The sequence below is a fragment of the Homo sapiens genome, chromosome 15 (assembly GCF_000001405.40).
Source record: "Homo sapiens chromosome 15, GRCh38.p14 Primary Assembly".
Taxonomy (NCBI): Eukaryota; Metazoa; Chordata; class Mammalia; order Primates; family Hominidae; genus Homo; species Homo sapiens.
The window spans coordinates 43,395,453-43,422,874 of NC_000015.10; the positions used below are offsets into that span (position 1 = coordinate 43,395,453).

Sequence of the window (27,422 nt, forward strand, 5' to 3'; positions counted from 1 at the left end):
ATGCCTGTATCTTTTGTAGCTTGGGCTCAAATTGATGAAATTAGAAATTACTGTATACATGTAATTCCTCAGGACAGTGAGGAGCTCCTGCCTTGCTTTACTGAATTGTAAATTGAAATTCTTTCCTCAGATCATTAAAGACTTTTACCTTCTGGGACGTGGAGAACTGTTTCAGGCCTTCATTGACACAGCTCAACACATGTTGAAAACACCACCCACTGCAGTAACTGAGCATGGTAATTGTCAGTGGCCCTGAGAATGATCAACTGATTGACATTGCAGGGTATTTCTTGGCTGCTGCTGACCCTTTTAAGGCCTGCTCCACATAAGAGCAGCCTGATGAGTTACAGAGCAGTGGCTTCCAGAGATGGAAGGCTCTTGCAGGTAGGCTTCATGCTGGGGTCATTGGGAACAGTGTCTTGGCCTGTGACCCTTCCTGGAAGAGTTGGTTCAGGCCTTCAAACCAGGTATTTTTTCTCATTGGATTATAGCCATATATACTTTATGGGCCATATTGGGACTTAGTGCTGCTTGTAGTTTTGCAGTAGAATTCTTTAGGTGTGAATGATGGAAACTCACCCGAACTAGCCTAGTTAGGAAAGGGAAATGGATTTGCTATTGTATCTAAAACCCCAGTGGGAAAACTTCGATTCATTCTCTCTCTCTCTCATTCACTCATTCACCACATCTTGTTTGTGTCTCTTGTGAACACTTTGATGACCTTCTGGAAACATGATCACAGCATCTCCCAGGAATATGCCTCACAGTGTCCTCTACGGAAGGAACTGAACCCAGTCCCTCTTGTTGCAAGTTAGAGAATTCTAGGGAATTATCTAGGTTTTGATTGGCCCAGCCCACATCACATCCCTATCCCTGTATCAGTCAAAGAGGTCAGACACTAGGCTATGCCTAGTTCAGTGAAGAGTCTACCCCTTGACCCACTGATGTCCATTCCCATTCATACTGCATGAGTAGAGTTGGGTAAGGATCCAAAAAAAGAAACTGTGAGAAAGAAAATACATACACACAGGCTGATCATTTTTCTAACTCAGTAAAACCATAGATGTCCACTGTACTTATATAGTACAAATATAAGTACTTGTGGTTGCAAATATCAGAAAATCCAATTCAAACTCACTTAAGCAAAGCAAAAGGAAAGAAATAATGTATTGATTCTCATAACTGAAAAGCTCAGACGTATGATGGTTTTCGGCTAAGTTTGATCCAGTGACAGGTGTGGCACCTTTAGGACTTGGTCTCTTTCCATCTTCTACCTCTTTCTTCTCAGACAGGCCTGCTCTGTATGGTAGCAAGATAGTCTCTAGCCAAGTTTACATCCTACTAAGCCCCTGTTTATCTTGAAAAAAGAGCTGGACTCTTTTAGAGTCTGAATAGAGCCTCTGGATTGGCCTGGCTTGGTCATGTTAATATCCCTAAACAATATAGCATAACAAAGTAGAGTATTACATTCCATTTGATCATGCCTACATCACCCAGCTACCCCTAGAATCAGGTGTTGTCTAGCACTAACCCACTGGAAATATGTGAACTGTACTGAATAGGGATGATTCTCCAAGGAAAATCAAGAGGCAGTTTGTCAGCAAGAAGAGAAGGATGGATGGGTGTTAGACAAATGAAACAGATGTCCACTGTGTCCTGCTGTTAGCATTGAGCATGTTGGGGGAGAAGTGGAAAGCTGGAGGAGTCTGGGTTTGTTATGTAGCCAAGCGTCCCTGTCAGCCTGCGTGTTCTTTCTTGCAGATGTGAATGTGGCCTTTCAACAGTCAGCACACAAGGTATTGCTAGATGATGACAACCTTCTCCCTCTGTTGCACTTGACAATCGAGTATCACGGAAAGGAGCACAAAGGTTTGCCATTCCTCCCTGCCACCTTAGAGTTCCTGCTGGTCATCATCCATTTTCCCATCTCTGCTTCCATCCCCCGCCACAGAAACCATATGATTTTGGATCTTAGAAATCAGCTAGTACAGTACTATAATTCTATAGAGAAGAAAAGGAAAGTCCAGAAGTCCAGAGAGGCTAAGTGAGATGCCCAGGCCATGTTTTGGGGGAGTTGGTTTTTTTGGTGTTTTTTTTTGTCATGCTGCTGGAATGGTGCCTGTTTATTTCCAGCCCCCAGATTTTAAGGCTGAGGAAAGAATCTCTAGAAGACCTCCCAAGAGAACCTCACATAGAAGTTTCCTTGCCCCCTTCTTAGTGTCCCCTGTAAGCTTCTGACATCGCAGACTCCATTGAGCTCTGTTGCTTTTCTTTTGGAGACAGAGTCTCACTCTGTTGACCAGGCTGGAGTGCAGTGGCACAATCTTGGCTCACTACAACCTCTGCCTTCCAGGTTCAAACAATTCTCATGCCTCAGCCCCCCTGAGTAGCTGGGACTACAAGTGCGTGCCACCATGCCCAGCTAATTTATGTATTTTTAGTAGAGATGGGGTTTCACTGTATTGCCCAGACTGGTCTTGAACTCCTGTGAGCTCTAGTTTCATTAATGTTATTCACTTGTTGAGTCTCTGGTTCTAGATTAACCAAGTTGTTATCTTTTCTTTTTTTCTTTTCTTTTATCACAGCAGATGCTACTCAGGCAAGAGAAGGGCCTTCTCGGGAAACTTCTCCCCGGGAAGCCCCTGCATCTGGCTGGGCAGCCCTAGGTCTTTCCTACAAAGTACAGTGGCCACTACATATTCTCTTCACCCCAGCTGTCCTGGAAAAGTGAGTATTTCTGAGTTTCTCACAGGTAAATATGACCCACCTTACTTGTAAGGGAAGAAACTAGCAGGAACAGAATTAGTGGGAAAGCAAGGTGTGGTGGCACACACCTGTAATCCCAGCTAGTCCAGAGCCTGAGCAGGAGGATCCCTTAAGCCCAGGATTTCAAATCCATCCTGGGCAACATAGTAAGACCCCCATCTCATAAAAAAAAAAAAAAAAATTAATGGGAGCAAGAGAGCCACCCAACTAGTTTTTAACAATCTGTAAATCAAAAATTGTAAACCCTTATGCCTTCAGGGGCTAGACTGATCACATTAATAAGTGAAGCCACAGATATGAGACACGGAGTTGGAATCAGTGGGAGGGCATATCTACTTCAAACCATCATTTTTTTAAATTGCCAAATAATAAGCAGTTTGTTGGCTGCCAGTTTGTGAGCTCTGGAAAATAAGGTCTTAGGCACCATGTCGAGATAATGGCCCTTGATGATTCCATCACACCTGACAAGGTCTCTCCCTCACTTTTGTAATATTTTTTGTTGATTTACTTGGGAAAGTCCTCCAGCCTACATGTCTGCTATGGATGTTAGCCACTGGGGAGAAGACAAAATCCTGTGTCCTCATTATTCACCTTCAGTAACCAGCAACATTATACTACTTTTATCTGTCCCTCCCCCACTTTTTTGCTAGAGCTGTATAAAGCAAATCACAGTCATTTCATTCTGCCAATAAACAATTGAAAAAGGCATATTTCAACAGAACTACAATGCCATTATCACATCCAGTAAAATTAACAGTAGTCCCTTATAATCCCTTATAATATCCAGTCTACATTGAAATTTCTCCAGTTATCTAAAAATTATCTTTATGTTTGGGTTTGTTCAAATCAGTTTCCAAACAAGGTCTATCATTTCATTATGTTTGTTCCTTTAGAAATAGACAATTTTAAAAACCAAACAGAATGGGACTGTCTTCTGCAAGCCTACCTACAAACAGGTAAATAAATCCTATTCTACCAGGAATCAGCTGTTCTTCCCGTGTGTCTTTTAAGTATGGAGTCTCAGCATTAAGCAGTTAGCACCTGAACTTGCAGGGAGGCAGGAGCGGGAGTCTGTCTCAGAGGGAAGCTATTTTACTTTCTTTCGGCTCTCAGCGACAGAGAATCAGATTCATCATAATCCTTGATTCATAACACACTATTTTTTTTGAGACAGGGTCTTGCTCTGTTGCCCAGGCAGCACACTGCAGCCTTGAACCCTGGGTTCAAGCAATCTTCCTGCCTCAACCTCCCAAGCAGCTGGGACTATAGGTGGGCACCACCACACCTGGCTAATTTTTTTAATTTTTAGTAGAGATGGCATCTCACTATGTTGCTCAGGCTGGTCTTGAACCCCTGAGCTTAAGTAATTCTCCTGCCTTGGCCTCCCAAAGTGCCGGGATTATAGGCATGAGCCAACACACCTGGCCTGCTTTAAGAATTATAGAAAAGGCTATATGTAATCTTTTGTGATTTACCTTTTTCATTCAAAAATCATGTTTTTGAATATGAGAAGCAACACGAGTCAACCATTCAAAAAGATTATAAGGGTATAATCTAATATCCAGTCCACACTGAAATTTCCCAAGTTATCTAAAAAATGCAGAGATGGGGTCTCATCTTGTTGTATAGCTGGAGTTCATTCGACTGCTATATAATATTCCATTGTATAAATAAATTATAATTTATTTGTCTACATCTCTAGTCACTCTTTCCTTACTGCCTGTTTGTGAGAGGAGTGGGTGGCACAAAGTCCTAGAGTCTGTCGTGTGGGGGAAGTGCAGGGGATGAAATTTTTGTCTTGAATATCCTGTTATTTCTGTCCTAGGTACAATGTTGTTTTTAAGTACTTACTGAGTGTGCGCCGGGTGCAAGCTGAGCTGCAGCACTGCTGGGCCCTACAAATGCAGCGCAAGCACCTCAAGTCGAACCAGACTGATGCAATCAAGTGGCGCCTAAGAAATCACATGGCATTTTTGGTGGATAATCTTCAGTACTATCTCCAGGTCTGTGCTAAGAGATGAGTAGAAGGAAGGGGTACGGAAAAACGTCTAGGAGGTTGGCAGGGAGTATTGAATAGGGACTACAAGTTTCTATTTGATAAAATGGTGGGGTTTGGGAAAATTCAGGAGTTATATCACCAAGCATGTTTCTTAAAATAAAAAAAGCATTTTATTTTATTTTATTTTATTATTTTTTAGAGACAGGGTCTTTCTCTGTTTCCCAGGCTGGAATGCAGTGGTACAGTCATAGCTCACTGAAGCCTCAAGCTCCTGGACTCAAGTGATCCCCCTGCCTCAGCCTCTCAAGTAGCTATGACTACAGATACATGCCACCACACCCAGCTGGTTTGTTTTTATTTTTTGTAGAGATGGATTCTCACTTTGTTGCCCAGGCTGGTCTCAAACTCCTGGCTTCAGCGAGGTGTCATGGGTCACGTCTGTAATCTCAGCACTTTGGGAGGCTGAGATGGGCGGATCACTTGAGGTCAGGAGTTTGAGACCAGCCTGGCCAGCATGGTGAAACACCATCTCTACTAAAAATACAAAAAAATTAGCCAAGCGTGGTGGCGCCTGTTTGTAGTCCCAGCTACCTGGGAGGCTGAGGCAGGAGAATCGCTTGAACCTGGGAGGTGGAGGTTGCAGTGAGCCAAGATCATGCCATTGCACTCCAGCCTGGGCAACAGAGTGAGACTCCGTCTCCAAAAAAAAAAAACTCCAGGCTTCAAATGATCCTCCTGCCTTTGCCTCCCAAAGTGCTGGGATTATAGGCATGAACCACCGCCACACCAGCCTCTTAAAGGCATTTTAAAGAATCCTCATCAACAATCTATTATTTATTGTTGACTTGCCCCTTATTTTTATTGTTTGCTATAACTTCTGGAATCCTGTAGGTGACCAAGTCAGTCAGTAGACGGAATGTGGCCATGAGTGGATTAGGATGGGGCAGGGGAGGCTGGGCGCAGTGGCTCACACCTGTAATCCCAGCACTTTGGGAGGCTGAGCCAAACAGATCACCTGAGGTCAGGAGTTCGAGACCAACCTGGCCAACATAGTGAAACCCCTTCTCTACTAAAAATACAAAAATTAGCCATGCGTGGTAGCGGGCACCTGTAATCTTAGCTACTCAGGAGGCTGAGGCAGGAGAATTGCTTGAACCCTGGTATGTGGAAGTTGCAGTGAGCCAGGATCGCACCACTGCACTCCAGCCTGGGTGGCAGAGCAAGACTCCGTCTCAAAAAAAAAAAAAGGAAAAAGAGAAAAGGATGGGGCAGGGGAGAGTGGTCAGCCAGGACGTTGGAGGGAGGGGGTTCAGAATTATGCAAATAACTTCCTACAAGGCTGGGCAATATAAGGGTGTCTTTGGTCAGCCTTAATGTGACTTGGTTAGAAGGAAGATGAGTGGAGGCAAAGCATTTTCATTTCAATCTGTCAGGCATCTTAATGTCTTCGAGTGCTTAGAATATGCAAAGTGCTAAAATTTTTTGTAATGTCTATCAGGTAGATGTGTTGGAGTCTCAGTTCTCCCAGCTGCTTCATCAGATCAATTCTACCCGAGACTTTGAAAGCATCCGATTGGCTCATGACCACTTCCTGAGCAATTTGCTGGCTCAATCCTTTATCCTATTGAAACCTGTAAGTAAGGCTCATTGGTTTCCTCAGACTGCTTCTACCACTGACCATTCCCTTAGGCAGTTTGAGTTGACAGGATACGAAACCATCATTAAGCAATTATTCAAGTCCATTTTAAAACATTTTTTAAGAATGTGTAAAGCGGCGGGGCATGGTGGCTCATGCCTGTAATCCCAGCACTTTGGGAGGCCGAGGTGGGCGGATCACAAGGTCAGGAGTTCAAGACCAGCCTGGCCAACATGGTGAAAACCCGTCTCTACTAAAAATACAGAAGAAAAAAAAAATAATAGGTGTGGTGGCTCGCGCCTGTAATCCCAGCTACTTGGGAGGCCTGAGGCAGGAGAATTGCTTGGACCCAGGAGGCAGAGGTTGCAGTGAGCCAAGATCATTCCACTGCACTCCAGCCTGGGCAACAGAGCAAGATTCTGTCTTGGGGGAGCAGATAAAAAAAAAAAGAATGTGTAAAGCAAAACTAAAAAGGCATGTTAAACGGGACCTAAGATGTCTTTGAATTTCTGAAATACAGGGTGTGGTGAGCAGCTACAGATGAAAGAATTATGTGCTTAAACCCTCAGGAGTTAAAGAAACTCAAAATTCTTGCTGACAATACAGAAAAACCAATGAAAAGCATATAGAGTTCACCTTCTTAGAAATCTTTTGGACCAGGATGGATCAGTCATTTGAAAGTTCTTTTCATAGACAACTAGAGTAGTGTTTCTCTCTCGATCTATGTATGTGTTTCTGTAAGTACATATATGTCTCCTTCGTGGCAGTTATTTTCAACTTTGGCTGCACATTGGAATCATCGGGACTCTTTAAAAAAATCTAGGTGACAGAGCACTTAAATTAGAATCCCTGTAATAGTGGGACCCAGGTACTAATTTTTTTTAAAGCTCACAAGCTAGTTCCAATTCCAGGATAAAGAACAGGAAGACTGAAATGATCTCTGGTAGTTTCTAATGGAACGGTTATGCCTCCTCTGACATGAGCTGGTTGTTATTCCTCAGTGTGCTACAGCACAGCTGTTACAGACTTTTTAAAAATGTTCTGGTGTTTAGGGCTATTTCTGCTGTACCAGGAAGAGTAAGATATATATTAATAGATGCCACTCCAGAGGGCTGGCTGAAAACAACCAAGAACTACTGTGATGGGTAGATGCTGTCCTTATGTGGCATAGATGTATCCATAGGGAAAAGCAGAATAACAGAGCAGGTCATCATCATTAAATATTTATTGAGTGCTTACTGTATGCAAGGCACTGGGGATACAAAGAGGTATAATTCATGGCTCTGCCCTTAAGGAGCTCACAATCTAGTTGGAAAAACAAGACATATATATATATATACATACAAAAATCAGTAACAACACAGAGGCCTGAACAATTGCCAAGTGGACAACAGTACAGATAATAAAGAAGCAAGAAACGAGGGTTCACTAAAGGCTATAGTGGGGAAGGGAGTGCTTCACTGAGAGAGTGGGACTTGAACTGGTATTAAAAACAAGAGCATCCCGGGCAAAGGGAACAACACTCACAGCTCAGAGGCAGGAAGACACTCTGCGGGTCTAAGAAATGAAGAGTTAAATGTGGCTAGATTGGAGGTTTGGTGCAGGGCTAAGAGAGTAATACTCGCTTAGCCAGGAAAGGATGCATTTGTTTTACGCATTTTGTGCGTCTGAGGGGCTGGCAGGCCTTGCACGTGGCAGTGTCTATCCTGTCAGATTTGGGAGGTCAGCTATTAATTAGATCAGCTATTAATCAGACTGTTCTCCTAACACTTTAACTTCATGGATGTACCTTCCTTCCTTTCCTAATGCCAACTCTGTTTCCCGGGTAGGTGTTTCACTGCCTGAATGAAATCCTAGATCTCTGTCACAGTTTTTGTTCGCTGGTCAGTCAGAACCTAGGCCCACTGGATGAGCGTGGAGCCGCCCAGCTGAGCATTCTCGTGAAGGTGCGTCTGCCTGGAAGTATGCAGCCTTGCCGAAAGGACAGAGGTGGTTTTGCCAATGGAGAATTCATGATCTTTCCTCTGAGTCAGTAAAGCATTTCCTCAATACACACACGTACAGAGATAAGATACAAAGATAAAAATGTTGGTATCAGTTGATTTTGAAGCAGGTAATACTGTGCCACCTCACAGTGCTCAAAAATAGTTCAGTCCTGAATAGTTTATTCAGCCCATCAAATAAGCATTGGGTTGTTCTAACTTCCTCACATCCTCCCCCCTCCTTACTTCCTTGAACTAACCCCCATCTCACTGAGATAATTATCTGCTTGTAATCAAAACGGGTTCTCCCCAACCCCAGTACTTGACAAAATACATTAACTGGAAACCAGCTACTAAATTCCTACTGATGAAAGAGTACTTTCATAGGAAGTCATGCATGTATGGATTTGGTACAAGTCATTTTAGGAACTAATAGAAATAGGAATGTGGGAAGGCCAGGTGGTTCTGTAGAATTTTGAACAAGGCTTTTCCAAGAAACTCCTCCCTCCGCCCCCATCCTCCATATGGAGAGTTGGTGAGCTGAAGTGGAATGACAGCTGAGTCCTTCTCTCTGCAGGGCTTTAGCCGCCAGTCTTCACTCCTGTTCAAGATTCTCTCCAGTGTTCGGAATCATCAGATCAACTCAGATTTGGCTCAACTACTGTTACGACTAGATTATAACAAATACTATACCCAGGCTGGTGGAACTCTGGGCAGGTAGGAGCAACCCTTGGGTAACTCAGTAGACTTTTTAAGGTGGCTTTTTAATGAGTTGTAGAATTCTAGAACTGGAAGAAGACTTTAGTCCAAATACCCTCATTTTATAAGTAAGGCTTAGAGATAGAGGTGTGACCATCTTTAATAATTTTAATGGAGGTTATTTTCTAGTAGAAGTCATCATCATCATAAAATACTAAAAAACCTGACAGTGAGATAGGTGTTAAGTCCTTTGCTAGGTTATGTATTGCTATGCTGGGAGGCAGTGGGCCTTCCACTCCCAATTCTGATATGAACTAGCTGTGCAGCCGTGGGCACCCCGCCTTGCTGGTCCCTAGCTTCCGCATCTGTGAAAGGAGGCGACCACCCCTTCTAACTCTAAACTTTAAAAAAAACTGATACCGAGATTCAGTGGTAGCTGGCTTCCCAGAGGTCTGTCATTCCCATTCAGAAAATCACTTCATTGTCCTTTCTCTCTAAAATGTCTGCAAGCAGATTTTTTTCTAAGCTATTGTAGCAGAAGAGTCAAAAGAAACTCTTCAGTTTTAAGATGACATTATTTAGATCACAGGTTATCCTGATTCATATTTCTTTGAAGGTAGTCTTGGGAAAGCATGACACTTAATAAGGCTCTTTTTCTCTTTTGTAGTTTCGGGATGTGAAAATTTCTGGCTCATAAATTGAAATAACAGCCACGTTCCCAAGGTTGTAACAGAAGATTCAAAACATCCCATTCTAGCCACACACAAATAAATATCTGCGGCTTAGTGATAGGACTCTACCTTTTCTCCTAGAAGCAGTTACTGAACATCCAGGAGTACAACTCCTTCCCATCATTCCCATGTGGAAGGGTCTCTCCCATCAAGGAGAACATGTGGCATCTCTGATCCTTTACATTGAGAACATTTGTTGGATATGTTCATTTATTCAATAGTCATTTATTGAGCACCTACTACGTACCTTGGTACTGTTCAAGCTGTGGGAGATACAGCGGTAAACAAACAATATAGAGCAGAAAGTTAAATATTTTATGGTTCATATGTGAAAAAGTAATTATGTTTATAAATAGACTAACTGCTGGATGTTACCACCAAGTAAGAAAGCAACAGGTAAGATAGGCTTTCTCTCTCCCTATACCAAGTAATTTATACCTACACAGATTGGGCAATTCTAGCTAATGAAAATATACTTAAAAGTATTTCTTAGGCCGGGCATGGTGGCTCACACCTGTAATCCCAGCACTTTGGGAGGCCGAGGCGGGCGGATCACCTGAAGTCAGGAGTTTGAGACCAGCCTGACCAACATGATGAAACCTCGATTCTACTAAAAATACAAAAATTAGCCAGGTGTGGTGGCATGTGCCTGTAATCCCAGCTACTCAGGAGGCTGAGACAGGAGAATTGCTTGAACCTGGGAAGCAGACGCTGCAGTGAGCTGAGATTGTGCCATTGCATTCCAGCCCGGGCAACAAGAGCGAAATTCCGTCTCAAAAAAAAAAAAAAAAAAAAAAAAAGTATTATTCTCCAAGAAAAAGGTCCTTAAGAAAAAATTGAGATCAAGTTGTTAGATTTTTAAATACTGAAGATTGCAGGCCCAATTACCCATCTTACACAAACCATAGGGGTTGAAGTTATCTTAATATGGCCCAGCCATCACTGGTAATCAATATTCATATCAGTGTAAGTAAAAAGAAATATTCACTGAACAACGCCCTCCAAACTGAAAAAGAATGCAGTGTTCTGGCATCAGGTTATAGTCACTGCATCTGGTTTTCATCACTACATATTCTACACACACTGGGAAGCTCTGACAACTTATTCCCTGCTATTATCAACTAAAGATCACCCTTTCTACTGCTGTCTCTGGAGCAGGAGCTGGCAAACTATGGCCTGCTGTCTGTTTTTGTACAGTTTTACTGAAACACAGCCATGCCCATTTGTTTACTCATTGTCTATGGTTGCTTTCATGCCCTCACAGCAAAGGCGAGTAGTTGTGATGGATCAAATGGCCCACAAAGCCTGAAATATTTACTCTTTGACCCTTTACAGAAAAAAACCTTGTTGACCCCTGCTTTAGAGAATGAGAAGCCATGCAGGGATCAGTGATGCCAGAGGAAGGGAAGGAACTGCTTCCAGCTATTGTGACAATAATAATAATAATAATATTGGGTCTTTGACTAGAACGTGTAACATTTCCAGGTGTTCTCACTTGTGCTTCCCATGTTTATCTTACGGAAGGTCATTCCATCAAGCTTATGGTCACTGTCCCTTCATGGCAGTTGGTCCTTTCGTTCTCCCTTTAGCTCTAAGAGTTGGGGAGTACCCACAGGTGAGCTGTGATCTCAGCTCAGAGAGAGAGCATGAGGTCTTTTTTAACTGTCAGGAAACAGAGCTGTGCCCAATTCCACTCAACTTTTGGCACAACTGTTAATCTGGGCCTTCACCTACCTTAAACTGAGTTTCTGCAAGCATAGCATTTTAGACACCCTGGAATAACCTTTTGGGAATGATGCCACAGAATAAAGTTCACTCTTAACTTTTCAATTTCCTTGGCCAGCTGTCCTCCGTAAGTGAATAAGCCTGTTGAAAGACTCAGAGAAAGTACTATGTCTTGTCATTTGTTCTGAGATTAAGCTCAAAAAAACAGATGAAGAAATCCCAGTTACTACAACCAAAGAGATTCAACATTTATTTTATCATAAAAGTTCAGCAAATAAAACTATATACAAGATCCATGCAAGGAATCCAGTTACACACAAGACACATTTAAAACCTGGTTAAAACACAATCTCCACGATAGCAGGGAATAAAACCAGTAAGACCAAGTATCTTTAGTGAGAAACATAATCGTGTTTATATTTTGGATGCTGCTTGAATCCAATTCTCTCCCCAACAATGAGGCACTGGATCACCCACTCTTGTGACACCACAGGCAGCTGCAATGCTTCAGCACACTTCAGCACCGAGGCTGGGCATGAGGGGTCCGTCACCACCACATCAAATACCCCTAAAGCAATATCTGCAAGGAGCAAGGGAAAGTGAAGAAGGAAAGGACACTCAACTTAGCCCTCCATTAGAAAGAGAGATTTGATTCTAACCAATACATCCCACTCTGCACAAACCAAAGCCCTATTATGTCAAACACACTGCTACTGATCATGACCAAAGGCAGAGTTATAATCACTATGTGCTGACCTTGTAGAAATATTTAACAAATATACGTCCAGTGCTTCACTTATGTTGACTCACCTCTTGAAGGTGGTACTTTTCTTCTCTAAGAAACATGGATACGGTCAACCTATTAGGCCTGAGCCTTGGACCACAAGGCCTAACACCTACAGGTCTAAGGAGATCCCTGGAACAAAGACACTACACACACTCTTTCAGGTACCTTTGTTATGGGCACTTGAATGGTGCTGCTTCACAGAGGCTGCACCACCAGTCATGAGGATCTCAGACCAGAGCTCCAGGAAGTTCTGCTGTTGGTCTGATACCAAGAGTACCTTCAGATTCTGGAAAGGATTTTCACGGGGTTGCCTATGAAGGAGACAGGAAAGGACCTTAGCATGACAAGTAATATCCAACAAACTGCCTTTCTGCAAAGGGACTCATGTACATCTGAATGCTTTCAAAAATAAATGCCCCATCAGACATAGTGTCTCAAGCCTGTAATCCCAGCACTTTGGGAGGCTGTCGTGGTTGGATCTCTTGGGCCTGGGAGTTCGAGACCAGCCTGGGCAATGTGGTGAGACCCCATCTCTACAAAAGACAACAAAAAAATTAGCTGGGTGTGGTGGCGAGTGCCTGTAGTCCCAGCAGCTTGGGAGGCTGAGGTAGGGGGATCACTTCAGCCTGGGAGGTTGAGGCTGCAGTAAGTCGTCACTGCGCCACTGTACTCCAGCCTAGGTGACAGAGCAAGACTTCATCTTAAAAAACTAAGCCCTATATTAGGGTCCCCCTTCTCTTCCTTCTTTCTATGAATGATCTGTATTCCTTGCATTCCTGGCTTTCTAATTTCCATGTTTGTTCTGGGGCTGAGAATAATCCAAATCATGCTCCTGAGCCTATATATTTTTAATGCTTGCTTAAAACTTAGTTCTCTGACTTTACAGGTTGAGAATATTGAACCTATATACAAATCTTCACACATTTGCAAAAGGTTCCTAGCCAATGTAACCTAGGGAAATAAACTAGATAAACTCCTGAAGTCATTTCAAACCCACTCAAATTTATCCCACAGACATTCCAATTTCTAGAAAGCTTTACTCTCTCACCTAGATTCTCTTCCCTCCAAAGCTTGCTGTCCTCCTGCCTATACAATTCTGGATGGGCTTCAAATACTTACCAGTCCAGAATTCTTTGCTCCTCAAGGCTGTACCCAGCTGGCAACAGATAATTACGGTAGTTCTGGAGCTGGTTGGCATGGCAACTATCATGGACCCAGACATGAGACACACAAGGAATCCCACTGGCAAGGCACAGGAAGTACTTCCGGGTTCGACAATGCTGATCCGCAATTAGAAGACACTGGTAAGCTGTGTTACACTGCAAGAAAAGAAGCAGAGCCAATGGGTTTGGTGACTTCTGTGGAAAGCTCCTAAGCAGCAGCCATAATGAGCCATGAAGAGCAGATCTGAAGACTCCCAACTACTACCCAAAATGTGATTTAGTCTATCCTGCCCAAGGCCACTCTTCTCACTGGAAGGCCCAAGTAATTTCCATAGATGTTCTCTCTGCCTCACCTGCAGCATACTGAGGACCTAAATCCTCAACGGACAACCAAAACCTATGAACTCAGCCTTTCAGGCTAAAAATCAGCAACCCTAATAGGGGTTTCTACTACTAAACATAAACATCAATCTTCTTTTGTCCCAGCAACAGAACCATAGCCATTAACTAACCCAAGGTCCTACCTTCTCTTCCCTATACACAACAAAAATTCTATTTCATGCAAAAACATTTTGGCAGTTTCTCAGTTCCTGAAATCTCTGGCTACTTTATCCAGGTTCCCCAACCCCTCCCAGGCCTCTTCTCAACACAGCAAGTTGGCTCTTATCATTGCCACTATATTAGGTTACACAAAGAAACTCCTCACCTGGGCTTCATTGAAATCTTCAAGGATATAGCCAGCTCCTGCTCGAAGCTGGGATTCTGTATACTGCTTGTTGAAAGGAGGAATTTCCAAAAATTCTATATTAAAAAAAAAAACCAAGATAATAATTACTGAGTGGTTTTCTTATTTGCTACCTTATGCCTCCTTCTTACTGCCCCCTTTTCCACTCCCCAGCTATCCACAACAGTGTGTCCCCAAAGACAGGCCAAGGGCTTCCCCATGGGTCAGAAAGAGATCTTGAGGCCTTTAAAATGCTGCCAAAAGAAGGGACAAGAGTAGGAGGGAATGGGAAGATGAGGACTGGAGGTAGGTCCTAGACCTAAAAACATCAAAGGTTCCTGCACCGGACCGTTGATAGGGATGGGAACACAATCATTTCCCACAGTGACATATTCCAACTTGAATAACCCTTACCATCAGGAAGTTCCCTTTGTGTCTATCCTAAATCTTTCCTGTTGAAAACTAAACCCCATTTCCTCTAGTTCTGCCTTCTGTGGAGATGAATAGCTGATGAACACTTTATAAGTTATATATGAAGGGTTTATTATAAACCACTGCATCAGCCTTTTTACCCCCTTGTACAACTAAAACTTTAATAAACCAGAATGCTCAATGAAATATGGTTTTAAAATTTTAACTGATTAAGTGAAGGTTAGAAAATCCTGTTTCAACCTTTTTATTGAAAACTATCTACCTTTGATGATCTTGAAGTACCTCAGGACACTGAACACCAATGACTGCTCTATAGTCTTGAGAGTGAAGTAGAAGATATGAGAGATGAGGCTGAAGCTGTAATGACCCTAGGCAATTAGAAATTGCTTCTTTTGACCAAATATCTAATTTGAGCTTGTTTTCTTGTCATCTGCTCCTCTCATATATAAATAACACATTAAAAAAAAAAAGAAAAGAAAAGCAAGACATTAGAGATTTTAGTTAATTAGGAGTTTTGGGAAATTAAGTTCTAATTAACTGAAATTTTTATCACAAATTTTAAAACCCAACCCAATCCAGTGCATAAGGTTCAATGCCGGTACCACTCCCCTTCCCCTTCACACCCAGTAGTAAAACTTAGAGCAGATCCCTTATGACGGCTCCCCCTTCAGTGCCCTCGTTGTCTGCTGGAGGAGCTCAGGCACCGCCGAGGCCCCAGGTCAGGGGTCTCCATCTCCACTTAGTTCTGACTAGCCAACCTATTCACTTTTACTGCTCTTTTCTTGATTCAGCATTCTCCACATTCTTCTCAAATTGAAATCCCAAAACAGAAACTCTAAATGGTTATAAGAAACTCAGAATACAGCAGGGCTATTTCTCAGCTTTGTCATAGCACCCTTTTGCTATCTCAATATAGCATGTCACAATCTTCAGCACCAAGATTCTACTGCTGAGTCACTGCCAACACCCCTTACAGTCCTGTATTTTTCTCAAGACTTCTACTTTATGTCTGCTTAATCCAGGACTGGTCTACTTAGATTTTAATCCCTAATTATATTTCCTTAATTTGTCTAATGAAGTATTACCCTGTCTAGGCAGTGTGTTTCTCTAATTTTTCTCAAATAGTCTGGGTTCCAATTTCTTCATTTTTGAGGTATAAGTGCCCTGCCCAGCCAGATGCTAAAATGAATAGGTTGTTAATCGTGCCATCTAAATCAAGTATGAAGGTACTAAATAAACCCAACTCCAGGGTCAATCCCTGTGTCTGAAGGATCTCTGATGGTGTGCCACCCAACAAGATTAGGTACCAAACTTATTAATAAATATATCTCATAAGATGAATTTAAATATTTTACTGAGCTCCTGTTGTAAGCTGGTGTCTAAGAATTCCTATTTATCTGTAACATCTACCAAACAGTTTCTTAAAAACTATAATTCTGTAGAGGATTGTTTTAGTATTAGATGTCTTCCGCCTTCTTGAGATTGAGAAACCCCCAAGCATTCTCATACACTGAAAATATCAAGGATTCTGGTACTGTTGGGCTGCGCCCAAGGATGAAGGCACCAACATAAAGACACATTCACCATAACCACACTGTCTATCAGAAACCTGAAGATCCCTTCAAAAACACTGTCCAAATGCCTCATTTTATTTTTATGAGTACAGTTTTATTACATCTCACGCAGGCACACGGATTTTAATGAAACTGGACAGCCTGCATCTCATACCAGTCAGCTTTCTTGACTATGCTGAACCAAGCAACAAACAAAACATCTATACAGCTGCCTTGTGAAGTCCTGGTTTCAAGTCCAGCAATATTGTAAAAGGGGGAAAAAAAAACCCATGACCATGACCACTGTTTTAATGCCATGACACACCTCTATGCAGAATCCTCAAAAGACTCCCAATTTTCCTGTCCAGGAAACTCTTCAAATACCTTATTCCCACTGTGCCTATCTGATTGTTTGACAAGCTAGGTGTTGCAAACACTGGACCTTGAAATCCCACCACACCACATCTACTCACTCCCACAGCCCAACTCTCCCAAACCAAAGCCTGCCCCTGATCATCCCTTCCATGTCCTTGTACATATCTACACATGGCTGCAGTCGGTGAGATATAGTTTTGGTTAATTAGGAAAGAGTCATCCACACACCTGAAATGCCAACCCTCACAGATGTCCAGTGGTGCAAATTATGACAACCATGTTGCCTAATTCAATTCCCTCTTGCAAGACAACATTAGTCAGAACTCTAACTTGTACAACATCATTCCATCTGGACCTTTAGCCTTTACAGACACATTCAGATACTGCTGTCAGTCACATTTACAGTGTATACATTTATATCTGCTCATTCCCTCTCCTAGATCACTCATTTTTCAGACCTCTACCCACTGCAGCCTTCCTTCAAAAACTAACAGACAACACAGAAATAAATGCAATGTACAGATTTAATTTAAGGTTAAAGAGAGGTATAAGAGTTGAAAAGGCCTAGAAGCTGTTTCTTTGCAATCACCCTGAGGAACCAGGCACCCCACAGTCCCAGTCTTAGACCTCAGGAGAATGAACCTTACCCTCCACATGGGTTTGCTCTAGCAGATGCCCATAGAACGCAAATGGGGAAGATGGCAGGGCATTCAGACCTGATTGACTTGGATGGTTGCAGTAGGCTAAAATGACAGAGCTCTAGTCACAGGTTTGTCATTATTGTGGACAAAAAAAACACAATTATTTAACCTTTAACCTCTCCAAACTTGTTTCCTCATCCATAAAATAGATAAGATCTATCTCCCATCTGCCTCACAGGATTGTTTTCAGGAACCACTCACTGAGAGGAATTTTGTGAAAACAGTCTAGAAACTGTTAAAAAGCAGGATACAGAGTAATTTCTGTGACCAAGATCCCAGTTGCTACTTGCCTTGCCTCCTCTACATACAACAGGGGGACCACCAGCTCATAAGTGACTGGAAAAGAAAGAAGTGCCTATGTGTCAGAGCTCCCAGGGCTTCCTAAGGCCTTACCCTCCTCTTCTTCACTGCTTCCTGTAGGACCATCTGGCAGTTTGGAGCGGCTGGCCAACTTGTCACTGGTTGTGGCCATGGTAAGGAGAAATGCGTAGCCCAGAAACAAGGTCTTGTTGAGAGGCAAAGGCCCTCTCTGCTCTTCCAGGGCAGAGGGTTCACCGGTGTTGTCTCCACTCTCACAGGGGCTCACAAACTCTCCTGCCCCTACTGCACCTGGGAAGGACAGGGGCACAGTTACTAGAGGGATACACACCATTGCCTCAGCAAAAGCCTTAACACCAAAAGGCCCCAGCACCAAGCATGACCTGATGGGCAGGCACTGTCCTGATGAACTTATCTGAGCCAGAAACCAAAGACCATTCCAATGGCCAACCATTCTAAATGGCCGACAGCCTAGGATAAAATTTACAACAAAGAGAAATTTACATATTTAAATTTTACACAGTCATGATAATGTATACAGTGTTTTCATAAATGAAAATTAACCAAGTATTGTTTTCATATAGCCACACCAAATACTTCTGAGGTCATCTGAAGAAAGAGGTGGTTCTAATACAAAGAAATAGTAGGTGAGAGTGAAAAATGTTTGGAAATCTTCAGCCCACTTTCTCTGTCCCGTGCTCTGATTTCCCCCAGGGTATGAGATATTTTGAAGCAGCCTTTGGAAAAAAAAAAAAACCCAACACTTTTTTATTATCAAGAAATGCCCCTTGTAGATAGATCCTCCCACCCCATCACTGACCGTCACCAGAATGGTGCAGAGAATACTTGGTAATAAAGTGTTTTTACACATAGATGGTGCCACATCAAAATAGCCTGCCTCAACTGAATTAGTTTTCAACACCTGGGTAAGTAAGTGAACCAGCCAGCCAGAACACCCATGCCAAGAGTGCCCCCAATAAGTCCTTGAGAAAAAAAACAGATACCTGACCTGGAGAAGCTGAATCGTAGGTTCATTAGGAGGCTAAGATGACAGACAGGTCATGCATGCCTCCCTAAAATAAAACCAGGAGCAAGAAAACAGTCTCAGAGGCAATATGACGTTATATGAACGAGGCTGGAATTAGAAGTGAAGACCACCAAAGTTTGAATCCTGGCTTACTTTGTCATCTTGGGAAAGTTAGCCAACTTTTCTGTGCCTCAAAGTCTTCAACTGGAAAACTCCTTCTAGCACCTATACTTCATAAGGATTGTATGTGAGGTATTATGTGTGAAGTACTGAGTGCTATGCCTCATACAGTAAATATTCAATGAACTATTGTTTTTAAATACCCTGAAACACAGCAGCAGTTGGGTAGATAAGGAGATGACACAATTCAAATACATAGGAAACAAAAGAAGCTCTGGTGCCAGGACAATGTAACAATCAATGGAGTTTCATCAGTTTGCTAGCCTGAGAAAGTTCCAAAAGGGAATAGACTGATTTTACCTCTGTAATCTCCTGAACCCATAGCAGCTGGGCCTGGGTCACAGTAGGGACTCAATGAACAACAGATGGAATGAACTCCTTTCTTAATTATTGAATGCTAGGGACTGGAAAGGGGTTGTTTCGGGGATAATGGGGAGAGGGAAGAGCATACTGAAATATGACTTTTTTTTTTTTTGATGGAGTCTCACTCTGTCACCCAGGATGGAGTGCCGTGGCGTGATCTCGGCTCACTGCAACCTCTGCCTCCCAGGTTCAAATGATTCTACTGCCTCAGCCTCCGGAGAAGCTGGGACTACAGGCATGTGCCACCACTCATAGCTACTTTTTTTGTATTTTTAGTAGAGATGGGGTTTTGCCAGGTTGGCCAGGCTGGTCTTGAACTCCTGACCTCAAGTGATCCCCCAACCTCGGCCTCCCAAAGTGCTGGGACTACAGGTGTGAGCCACCATGCCCAGCCATGTTTCAATAGGAAGTCTGAGAAAGCTAGAGGGCCTAAGCACAAGAGAGAGGGGAGCAGAATTTCCAGGAAGAAGATGGTGCAGGCAAAGAGAAATTACACCTATTTTGAATCTGCTTACATTTCAATACTTCTCCTTTCCCTCCTAGAACCCACACAGTAGTCAAAGAATGGTGTGATCAAGTCCTGGCCTTCTTTTTTTTTTTTTTTTTTTCTGGAGACCAAGTTTCACTCTTGTTGCCCAGGCTGGAGTGCAATGGTGCAATTTCGGCTCACTGCAACCTCCGCCTTCCTGGGTTCAAGCGATTCTCCCACCTCAGCCTCCCCAGTAGCTGGTATTACAGGCGCCCGCCACCACACTCAGCTAATTCTGGCCTTGCTATCTACCCGCACTAGAGTCTGTAGGGGATGGGGGAGGAGGGATACAGTGAGCTGTCCCTGAATATCACCTGTGGGCTTGGGCAGGACCCCGACTTTATAGCAGGACAGAAGGGCCACTGCCACATATTAAGCTCCATTTTTCCAGCAGCTGACCCTGCATTCTGCCATGGTCTGAAGGAAGAATGAGGCAAAAAGGAGCACTTACCAGGTTTTACTGTGGCAGACTTGCGACCTCGCTTGGCAGGGGACCGTTCCTCTTCAGAAGTGATAAGTTTTCTTTTGCCTGAGAGAACTCCCATGGAGGCACGAGGACTTTCTGTGATCTTTCGGGTAGGGGTTGTGCTGCTGCTACTGGAGGCAGTAGGGGTGGCTGGGGAGCTGACGTTACTGCGCCGTTTCCGCTTCCCTTCCACCAAATTGTCTATGGCAGGATAAGCCAAACAGGTTGGTCAAACTCTATGGTATGAGGCCCTGAACTCCAAGAAACTGGGCAGACCCTGATTCAGACACCACAGTGTTCCTTCCCCCACTTCCCATGAGGCCAAGAAGCTTCTTTTTAAGGCCATATTTTTTATCTAGTCTTTGCCATGACTGAAATGTGTTTAGTCCCCTATAGAACTGAGGAGGCCAGAAAAACCCTAAGGACTTTCTGTTTGGTACTAAGAAGGAAACAGGTAAGGCAGCAGCTCTAGAAAATGACAGCTCATCCACCATCTGAGAAGCCACACATAGGAATAATAAAAGTTAGGGAAACATTACTGACAGGTCCAGAATCTCCTCCCACTGTAAGCAGAACAGGAGCCCAAAAGCAGCTGTTCAGGAAGCAAAAGTCTTACCTAAGCTGATATCTGCTGCCTTTGTAAGAGGTGTTACTGCTTCATAGGGGCCAAGCCCATACTGCTCTCTCAGTCTGTTTCCTTGCTCCAAGGACAGGATGACAGCCATTCGCTTATACCACTTTCTTTGGCCTTCTTTTTCAATGCTGTAGTACAGTTCCCCAGACTCCTTCCTATGTCCTTTCACCACTCCTGGGGGGTGGAAAGCATAAAAGAAGCTTGCTGTTGTCTTAGGCTCCTTAGCACCCTCTCACAAGGGCTCTGTAAAGCAGGCCTGAGTTAGGGAATTTAGAGATCCAACAGTGGACTGAAGTTAGGACTTAACAAAATTCCAGTTGTCAATCCCAAACAGTAACACTTAGGATATATGTAGCTACTACACTGGGATTAGGACAAGGAAAGTTTCTTGACAGAAGGTAGCCTTTAGTTATAAAATAAAGCTTCCCAAAGACAGCCATTGTGGATTGCTGGTGGTTCAAATGATTTCCGTGAAGTGAAATGGCATGTGGTTTCCTAACAATTCCATTATAACTTCTAAACATTTCCTTCTTGGTTCCCTGGGAGGCTGAGTAGTAAGTCTTGAGTTAAGCTGTAGGTGAAAAATGACATCATTCTAAGAGAGACAGCATGTGTGTGTTTTCTCTCTGTGTGTGTAGCAAAATTAGAGAGCAAAGAAAGGAAAAAACAGATCCTGCCTCTCCTACCTAATCTTCCTCTCTATTATCTACTTTCCTGCTCTGATTCAAAACCTGATAAGGCCTTTATGTTAAAAGGAACAAAATGTGGGATGTAAAAGGAAACTAAGCTATAATTCAGGAGAACTGAGCCTAGGCCTAATTCTGCTGCCACCAAGCTGTGTGATCTTGGGCAGGACCCATTACTAAGCCTGTGAAAAAGAACACTTCTTCCTATCAATGAATAAACAATTTACAACACACACACATACTATAGCTATAGATACACACCCCCCCACCCCCACACACATATACAATACAAAAACAAGGCATTACTATGAATATTTTTTCATTCCTATAAACAGAAGGGTCCAATTTCTTCTCACCCATTAGCCTATGCTTGAATGAAGAGCTAAAAGAAACCCAGAGCCTACCCCACCCAAGGAAAATAACACAGAGAAAGCAAGCCTTGGTTCTCTATCTATCCTGTGGAATCACTCCCTTTTCCCTTACTTGTTCATCTCCTAGCTTAAATCTCTATCCCCAAACTAAGTCACAAAGACTCCCTCAAAAACACAAAGAAGCCCAAGGCCAACAATATACTTCACACTAATGAAGAGCTACTAGAACTAGAAGTAGTCTAGTGTTGACATGAGCAAACAGCCTCAAGAAATGGGACACAGAATCCCCACACCTTGATGCCACAGTTCACTCTTGTTACAGAACTCCGTCTTTAAAAGGCCAAATATGAACCCCTAAGAGTAGCTTTACACCTGAAAGAAGAACGAATGCATTTGATACATACAAACTATGAGTCACAATAAAAGACCCCAATCCATGTGCTACTCCCAACTGATCCCATATATAGCTAACAATGTTATCCAGAACTAGAAGGTGAAGTGGCCCATTTAATAATGAACAAAGGGCAAACAACAATTACTCAGAGGATTCCAAATACAAGAGAAGCCTGGATGGACTCCAACAGAAAGCCATTTTTCCAGCCGGGAGCAGTGGCTCACTACTGTAATCCCAGCACTTTGGGAGGCTGGGGCGGGTGGATGGCTTGAGGTCAGGAATTCAAGACCAGCCTGACCAAGATGGCAAAGCCCTGTCTCTACTAAAAATACAAAGATTAACCAGGTGTTGTGGCATGCACCTGTAATCCCAGCTACTTGGGAGGCTGAGGCAAGAGAATCACTTGAACACCAGAGGCGGAGGTTGCAGTGAGCCAAGATCGTGCCATTGCACTCCAGCCTGGGCGACAGAGCAAGGCTCTGTTTTTAAAAAAAAAAAAAAAAAAAAAAAAATCCATTTTTTGGCTGGGCATGGTGGCTCACGTCTGTAATCCCAGCACTTTGGGAGGCTGAGGCAGGCAGATAAGTTGAGGTTGGGAGTTCGAGACCAGCCTGGCCAATGTGGCGAAACCCCATCTCTACGAAAAACACAAAAAAAAATTAGCCAGGTGTGGTGGTGCGTGCCTGTAAACCCAGCTACTCGGGAGGCTGAGGCACGAGAAACACTTGAACCCAGGAGGCAGAGGTTGCAGTGAGCCAAGATCACGCCACTCACTGCACTCCAGTCTAGGAGGCAGAGTGAAACTGTGTCTCAAAAAAAAAAAAAAAGATAGAAAGAAAGCCATTTTCCCCCATTATATGCCAATCCATGTTCAAAAAGTCCTCAGAAAGATGTTTTTAAATGACAAACTCAACACAAATAGGTATCTTCAAATTATTTCCATAGAAAGGAGACAATATATTCAAAGAACTAGCACATGAAACAATAACAACAAGCATAACCACAAGCATAAACCTCTCACTATCACCAATATTACCTACTTCAAAAATAAAAAGGCACTGTTCTTCAAACCAGAGAATAAGTGGTAGATGTGCAGTCATACAGACACAGCACTAAAAACTTCTCCCTAAGCAAAAATATCTCAATATCACCTACTGGGTTCCAATCAAAGCAGGTAGCTAAGCTTTAAAAAAGAAGAGAGTATGGAAAGGGAAAAACACTAACTTTAGAGAAGGCCACCTGTCCCTCTCTTGCAGTGGCTCACGCCTGCAAACCCAGCATTTTGGGAGGCCAAGGCAGGTAGATCACCTGAGCTCAGGAGTTTGAGACCAGCCTGGCCAATATGGCGAAATGCCATCCCCACTAAAAATACAAAAATTAGCCGGGTCTGGTGGGGCACACCTGTAATCCTAGCTACTCAGGAGACTGAGGCAGGAGACTCACTTGTACCCGGAAGCTAGAGGTTGCAGTGAGCCTAGATTGCGCCACTGCACTCTAGCCTGGGAAACAGAGTGAGTGAGACTGTTTCAAAAAAAAGTGAAGAAATCTGGCAAATACAACCTTAACCAGTGATGAAGATTAACATCCTGCATCAGTGATGTCATGTGGATACATCACAAACCTTCCCAGGTCCTTATATGATAACATGAGAAGGGCATTTCACCTCTGTGGCATATTTTTTTTTAAGAGACAGGGTCTCACTGTTTCCCAGGCTGGAGTGCAGTGTCATGATCATAGCTCACTGTGGACTCAAACTCCTGAGCTTAAGCAATCCGCCTGCCTCATCCTCCTGAGTAGCTACGACAACAAGCATGTGCCCCCATGCCCAGCTAATTTATGTTCCTTTTTTTTTTTTTTTTTTTTTTTTTTTTGAGAGACAGGGTCTCACTATGTTTCAGCCTGGTCTCAAACTCCTGACCTCAAGTGATCCCCCTGCTTTGGCCTCCCAAAGTGCTGGAATTACAGGCATGAGCTACCACACCCACCCATCTATGTGGCATTATTTTTAAAATATCCCATAACTCCAGTCTAATGAGAAAATATTAGACAAATCCAAATGGAGGGACATTCCACAAAATACCTGACCAGGACTCCCCAAAACTGTCAAGGTCATGAAAAACAAAAGACTGAGAAATTGCCACAAATCAGAGCAGACCAAAGGGTATGTGATGACTAAATGCAATGTTGGATGCTGGAAGAGAAAAAGGACATGATGGAAAAGCTAGTGAAATCCAAATAAAGTCTAAAGTTTTGTGAATAGTAATACACCAAGGTTGGATTTTTAGTTTTGACAAACGTCCCATACTAACACCAGATGTCAACAATAGGGAAAGCTGGATGAGGGGTATACAGGAACTCTCTGTACTAGCAGTACTTTGTACTTCGCAAATTTTCTGTAAATCATCTAAAATATTCCAAAATAAGTTTATTCAAAAACAAATGAACAAACAGAAAAGTCAGTGGCAAGAGTAACCAATTTTGTAGGAATGAAATTTCTGACTTTAGAGACACTGGAAAAGTACCAAGTAATGTCTTGGTAACTACTAACATAACAGAGTATTATTGCCCCAAGGCACAAAAAAATCTCTACAAACTCTGCTTCTTTCATTACCTGCACTGAAATACTCATCCTCCGAGAGGGCCGTCACTTCAGTGTCCAGCGGGATGGGGTCACATAACAGAATGTCTTTGCCCAACACATCACATTCGTACCCATCATCAAAGAGCAATTTATACTTCCCAGCTCCGACATCTCGTGTGATTTTCCCAGAGTAAAAGTAGCCATTGGATGACCACTTGGCTACAACACGGAGCCCTACAAAGCTATTTCCTGGAGAGGAGGCATCTAAGCCATCAGAAGGGCCAGCAGCAGCCTGGAAAGGAATTTCTGGAGAGTCACTACGACGCAAAGCACCAGCACCCACATCTGTTCGTCTGGTGGAGTCTGGCACTCGGGGCACGACACGGCTGAAGGATTTATCATCTGGTGACAAGTTAGGTGAAATGTCCTCTATGCCCAAGGGGCCAGGCACAGCTGTTTCTCTAAAGAGAGATAGGGGATAGGAGAAGCCGGTGAGAACAAGAACACAGAAGTATATATCTACCAATTTTTCCACTCCTTTGTCCATGGGTCTCCTCAGCCCATTCTTTAAAAACCCCATCACAGGCATGAGCCTGGTCTCTCTGTGGCCTCACTCTGATCCCTGCCCACTCCCCAGTCAGTATGGCCCCTCTTCTCCCTCCTGACACCCCACAAACTCTCTACTCCCCTCTCCTCCATTCCCTTGTTTTCTGAACAACAGACTAAGTATATCTTACACTACCCAGGTACCTGGTTCCAGTGGTCCGAGAAGGTGGGCGGCCCCTTCGCCCACGCCCACGAGGCGTGACTGGAGCCTTCCCTCCCTGTCTGATGCCAAGGCCTGCATCACCATCCTCCTCACACACTGGCGTCCCTGTCTGACTGACCCCTTTTCTAGGACTAGAGAATGAAGACAAGTTAGTCTGATAGCACCTGCTACTGAATCTTTTCTTCACAAAGTCTCCCCTTGGCCCTCAGACTACATGACAGGCCTACATGTGCTGAGCCTTTGGGGCAGCAGGAAGCTGGTTCACACACCCACCACCAAAATCTCATGCAGGGAGTGGGGAGCGTGGGATAACAAGTAAAGGACATTCTCCTTCATGTAAGTCTATTCCCTCTGACAAAGCTTCCTACTGCTGCTGCAAAAACAGCACACCCAATTTCTGCTATGCCTTCTCCTCTACTTTAGGCTCTGGACACCTGCAAAGAATAACAAAAAGCTAGGAGATGCATTAAGTTTGGGCTACTATCCCAAACTTCCTGTACTCCCAACTAAATCATATAAAGGCTGTGGTAGAAGCAGTGCCCACCAGATGATAAATTCCCGAAAGTCCCCTCCCCTGTTACCTACATTTTCTCAGGGGCTGCTTTGCCAATGAAGTCTACCTGCCACAGGGCTCCACCCTACTTCCCACACAAACCCAAAACAGGAAGAGAGCAAATAGTGAAGAGGGGTAGTTGATTTATCTTTAATGGAGGATGGGGGATTTCCCATTACTCCCCTTTTCCTGTGATATTAAAATGTCAGCAACCCTGCCCCTGCTGTGGCTCTCTCTCTCTGGAGACCCTGTCTGCACCTCAGTTTTCCTGGGCCTCCTCGGGAGCTGGGTAAGGCAAAATCTGCGGGTTCTGTCCCGCTGGTTTTCCCTCTGAGTGGTCCGGCTCCTTTCCCTGAGCTTCCACTGCTGTGCATAGCTGAGAGACTTGTCCCACTTGATGTGCGGTGTAAGCTGGATGCCTTGGAGGAGAAGGAGCTGATATCCCCCAGGTCACCTGAGGAGCCCCCAGTCTGTGAAGGGGAAACTTCAGTTTCACACTCCTGACACTCTACAATTGGCTCTTCAGTCTCCTGCAAGGAAAAAATAGATACAGAAGATAAAAGATGCCATAATAACACAATGCTAATATGATGGTTGGAAAATCCTACAGATGGCACAAAATTATAATTCAAAAAGGTGAGAATCAGGAGACTTTCTGGAATAATGGGAATGTTCTGTATCTGTTTTGAGTAGTGGTTAGATAAAATTTTCAAAAGCCACTGAACTGAACATTTAGGATCTGTTCTTTTTTTTTTCTCCCCCAGGTGATTCTGAGAAGAATTGTTCATTCTAATGGGACTATACTGTATCTCAATAAAATATAAAATAAACATGGTACTATATTGGTAAGAAAGAGTTTATCTTTTTATTGGATAAGTTCACAACCTCTGGCTACCAGCAAAGATTCTAACCTAGACGACAGAAGTAAATTCTTATCTGAGAGAAGACAGGGAAGGAGGTAGGCAGGTGAGAGGAGAAAATGAGTGGTCAGGAGCCCTTCTAGGTACTTCATTAACAGTGGACAGCATTACATGTTTTGACATTGGTTATTTTACATTACCTTTCAATAACTGATCAAGGCAATAGAAAAGTATATGCAAAAATAGGCTAAAAGGGGTCAGGTGTGGTGGCTCACGCCTGTAATCCCAGCACTTTGGGAGGCCAAGGCAGAAGGACTGCTTGAGTCCAGGAGCTTGAGACCACCTTAGGCAACATAGTGAGAACAGGTCTCCATATGAAAATAAAACTATTAGCCAGGCGTGGGAGTGCACACCTGTA

At 43.4% G+C, this 27,422-nt stretch overlaps 2 protein-coding genes across 19 annotated transcripts in view; one reads left to right on the forward strand and one right to left on the reverse strand.

The window, feature by feature from the left end:
• The window catches only part of TUBGCP4 (tubulin gamma complex component 4), a 38,671-nt gene extending 24,352 nt beyond the window's left edge, over nt 1-14,319 (forward strand). For 3 of the 9 annotated variants that reach the window (NM_001286414.3, XM_047432390.1, XM_011521455.3), the window contains 8 exons: nt 131-236; nt 1,762-1,869; nt 2,586-2,727; nt 4,592-4,769; nt 6,264-6,398; nt 8,231-8,347; nt 8,961-9,100; nt 9,750-14,319. In NM_001286414.3, the coding sequence (NP_001273343.1) occupies nt 131-236; nt 1,762-1,869; nt 2,586-2,727; nt 4,592-4,769; nt 6,264-6,398; nt 8,231-8,347; nt 8,961-9,100; nt 9,750-9,762 (939 nt within the window). In that variant the 3' untranslated portion in view covers nt 9,763-14,319. Of the gene's footprint in view, nt 1-130; nt 237-1,761; nt 1,870-2,585; nt 2,728-3,659; nt 3,723-4,591; nt 4,770-6,263; nt 6,399-8,230; nt 8,348-8,960; nt 9,101-9,749 lie in introns of those variants that run through there. The other 6 variants (NM_014444.5, XM_047432391.1, XM_011521454.4 and 3 more) reach the window with 5 other exon arrangements.
• Nucleotides 7,609-27,422, reverse strand: part of TP53BP1 (tumor protein p53 binding protein 1) — a 107,580-nt gene continuing 87,766 nt past the window's right edge. For 5 of the 10 annotated variants that reach the window (NM_005657.4, XM_047432994.1, XM_047432995.1 and 2 more), the window contains 10 exons: nt 26,403-26,674; nt 25,573-25,722; nt 24,853-25,283; nt 20,773-20,964; nt 20,142-20,357; nt 17,667-17,882; nt 14,195-14,289; nt 13,445-13,644; nt 12,491-12,636; nt 7,609-12,118 (listed from right to left, as the gene is read on the reverse strand). In NM_005657.4, the coding sequence (NP_005648.1) occupies nt 11,931-12,118; nt 12,491-12,636; nt 13,445-13,644; nt 14,195-14,289; nt 17,667-17,882; nt 20,142-20,357; nt 20,773-20,964; nt 24,853-25,283; nt 25,573-25,722; nt 26,403-26,674 (2,106 nt within the window). In that variant the 3' untranslated portion in view covers nt 7,609-11,930. Of the gene's footprint in view, nt 12,637-13,444; nt 13,645-14,194; nt 14,290-14,906; nt 15,075-17,666; nt 17,883-20,141; nt 20,358-20,772; nt 20,965-24,852; nt 25,284-25,572; nt 25,723-26,402; nt 26,675-27,422 lie in introns of those variants that run through there. The other 5 variants (NM_001141979.3, NM_001411050.1, XM_047432997.1 and 2 more) reach the window with 5 other exon arrangements.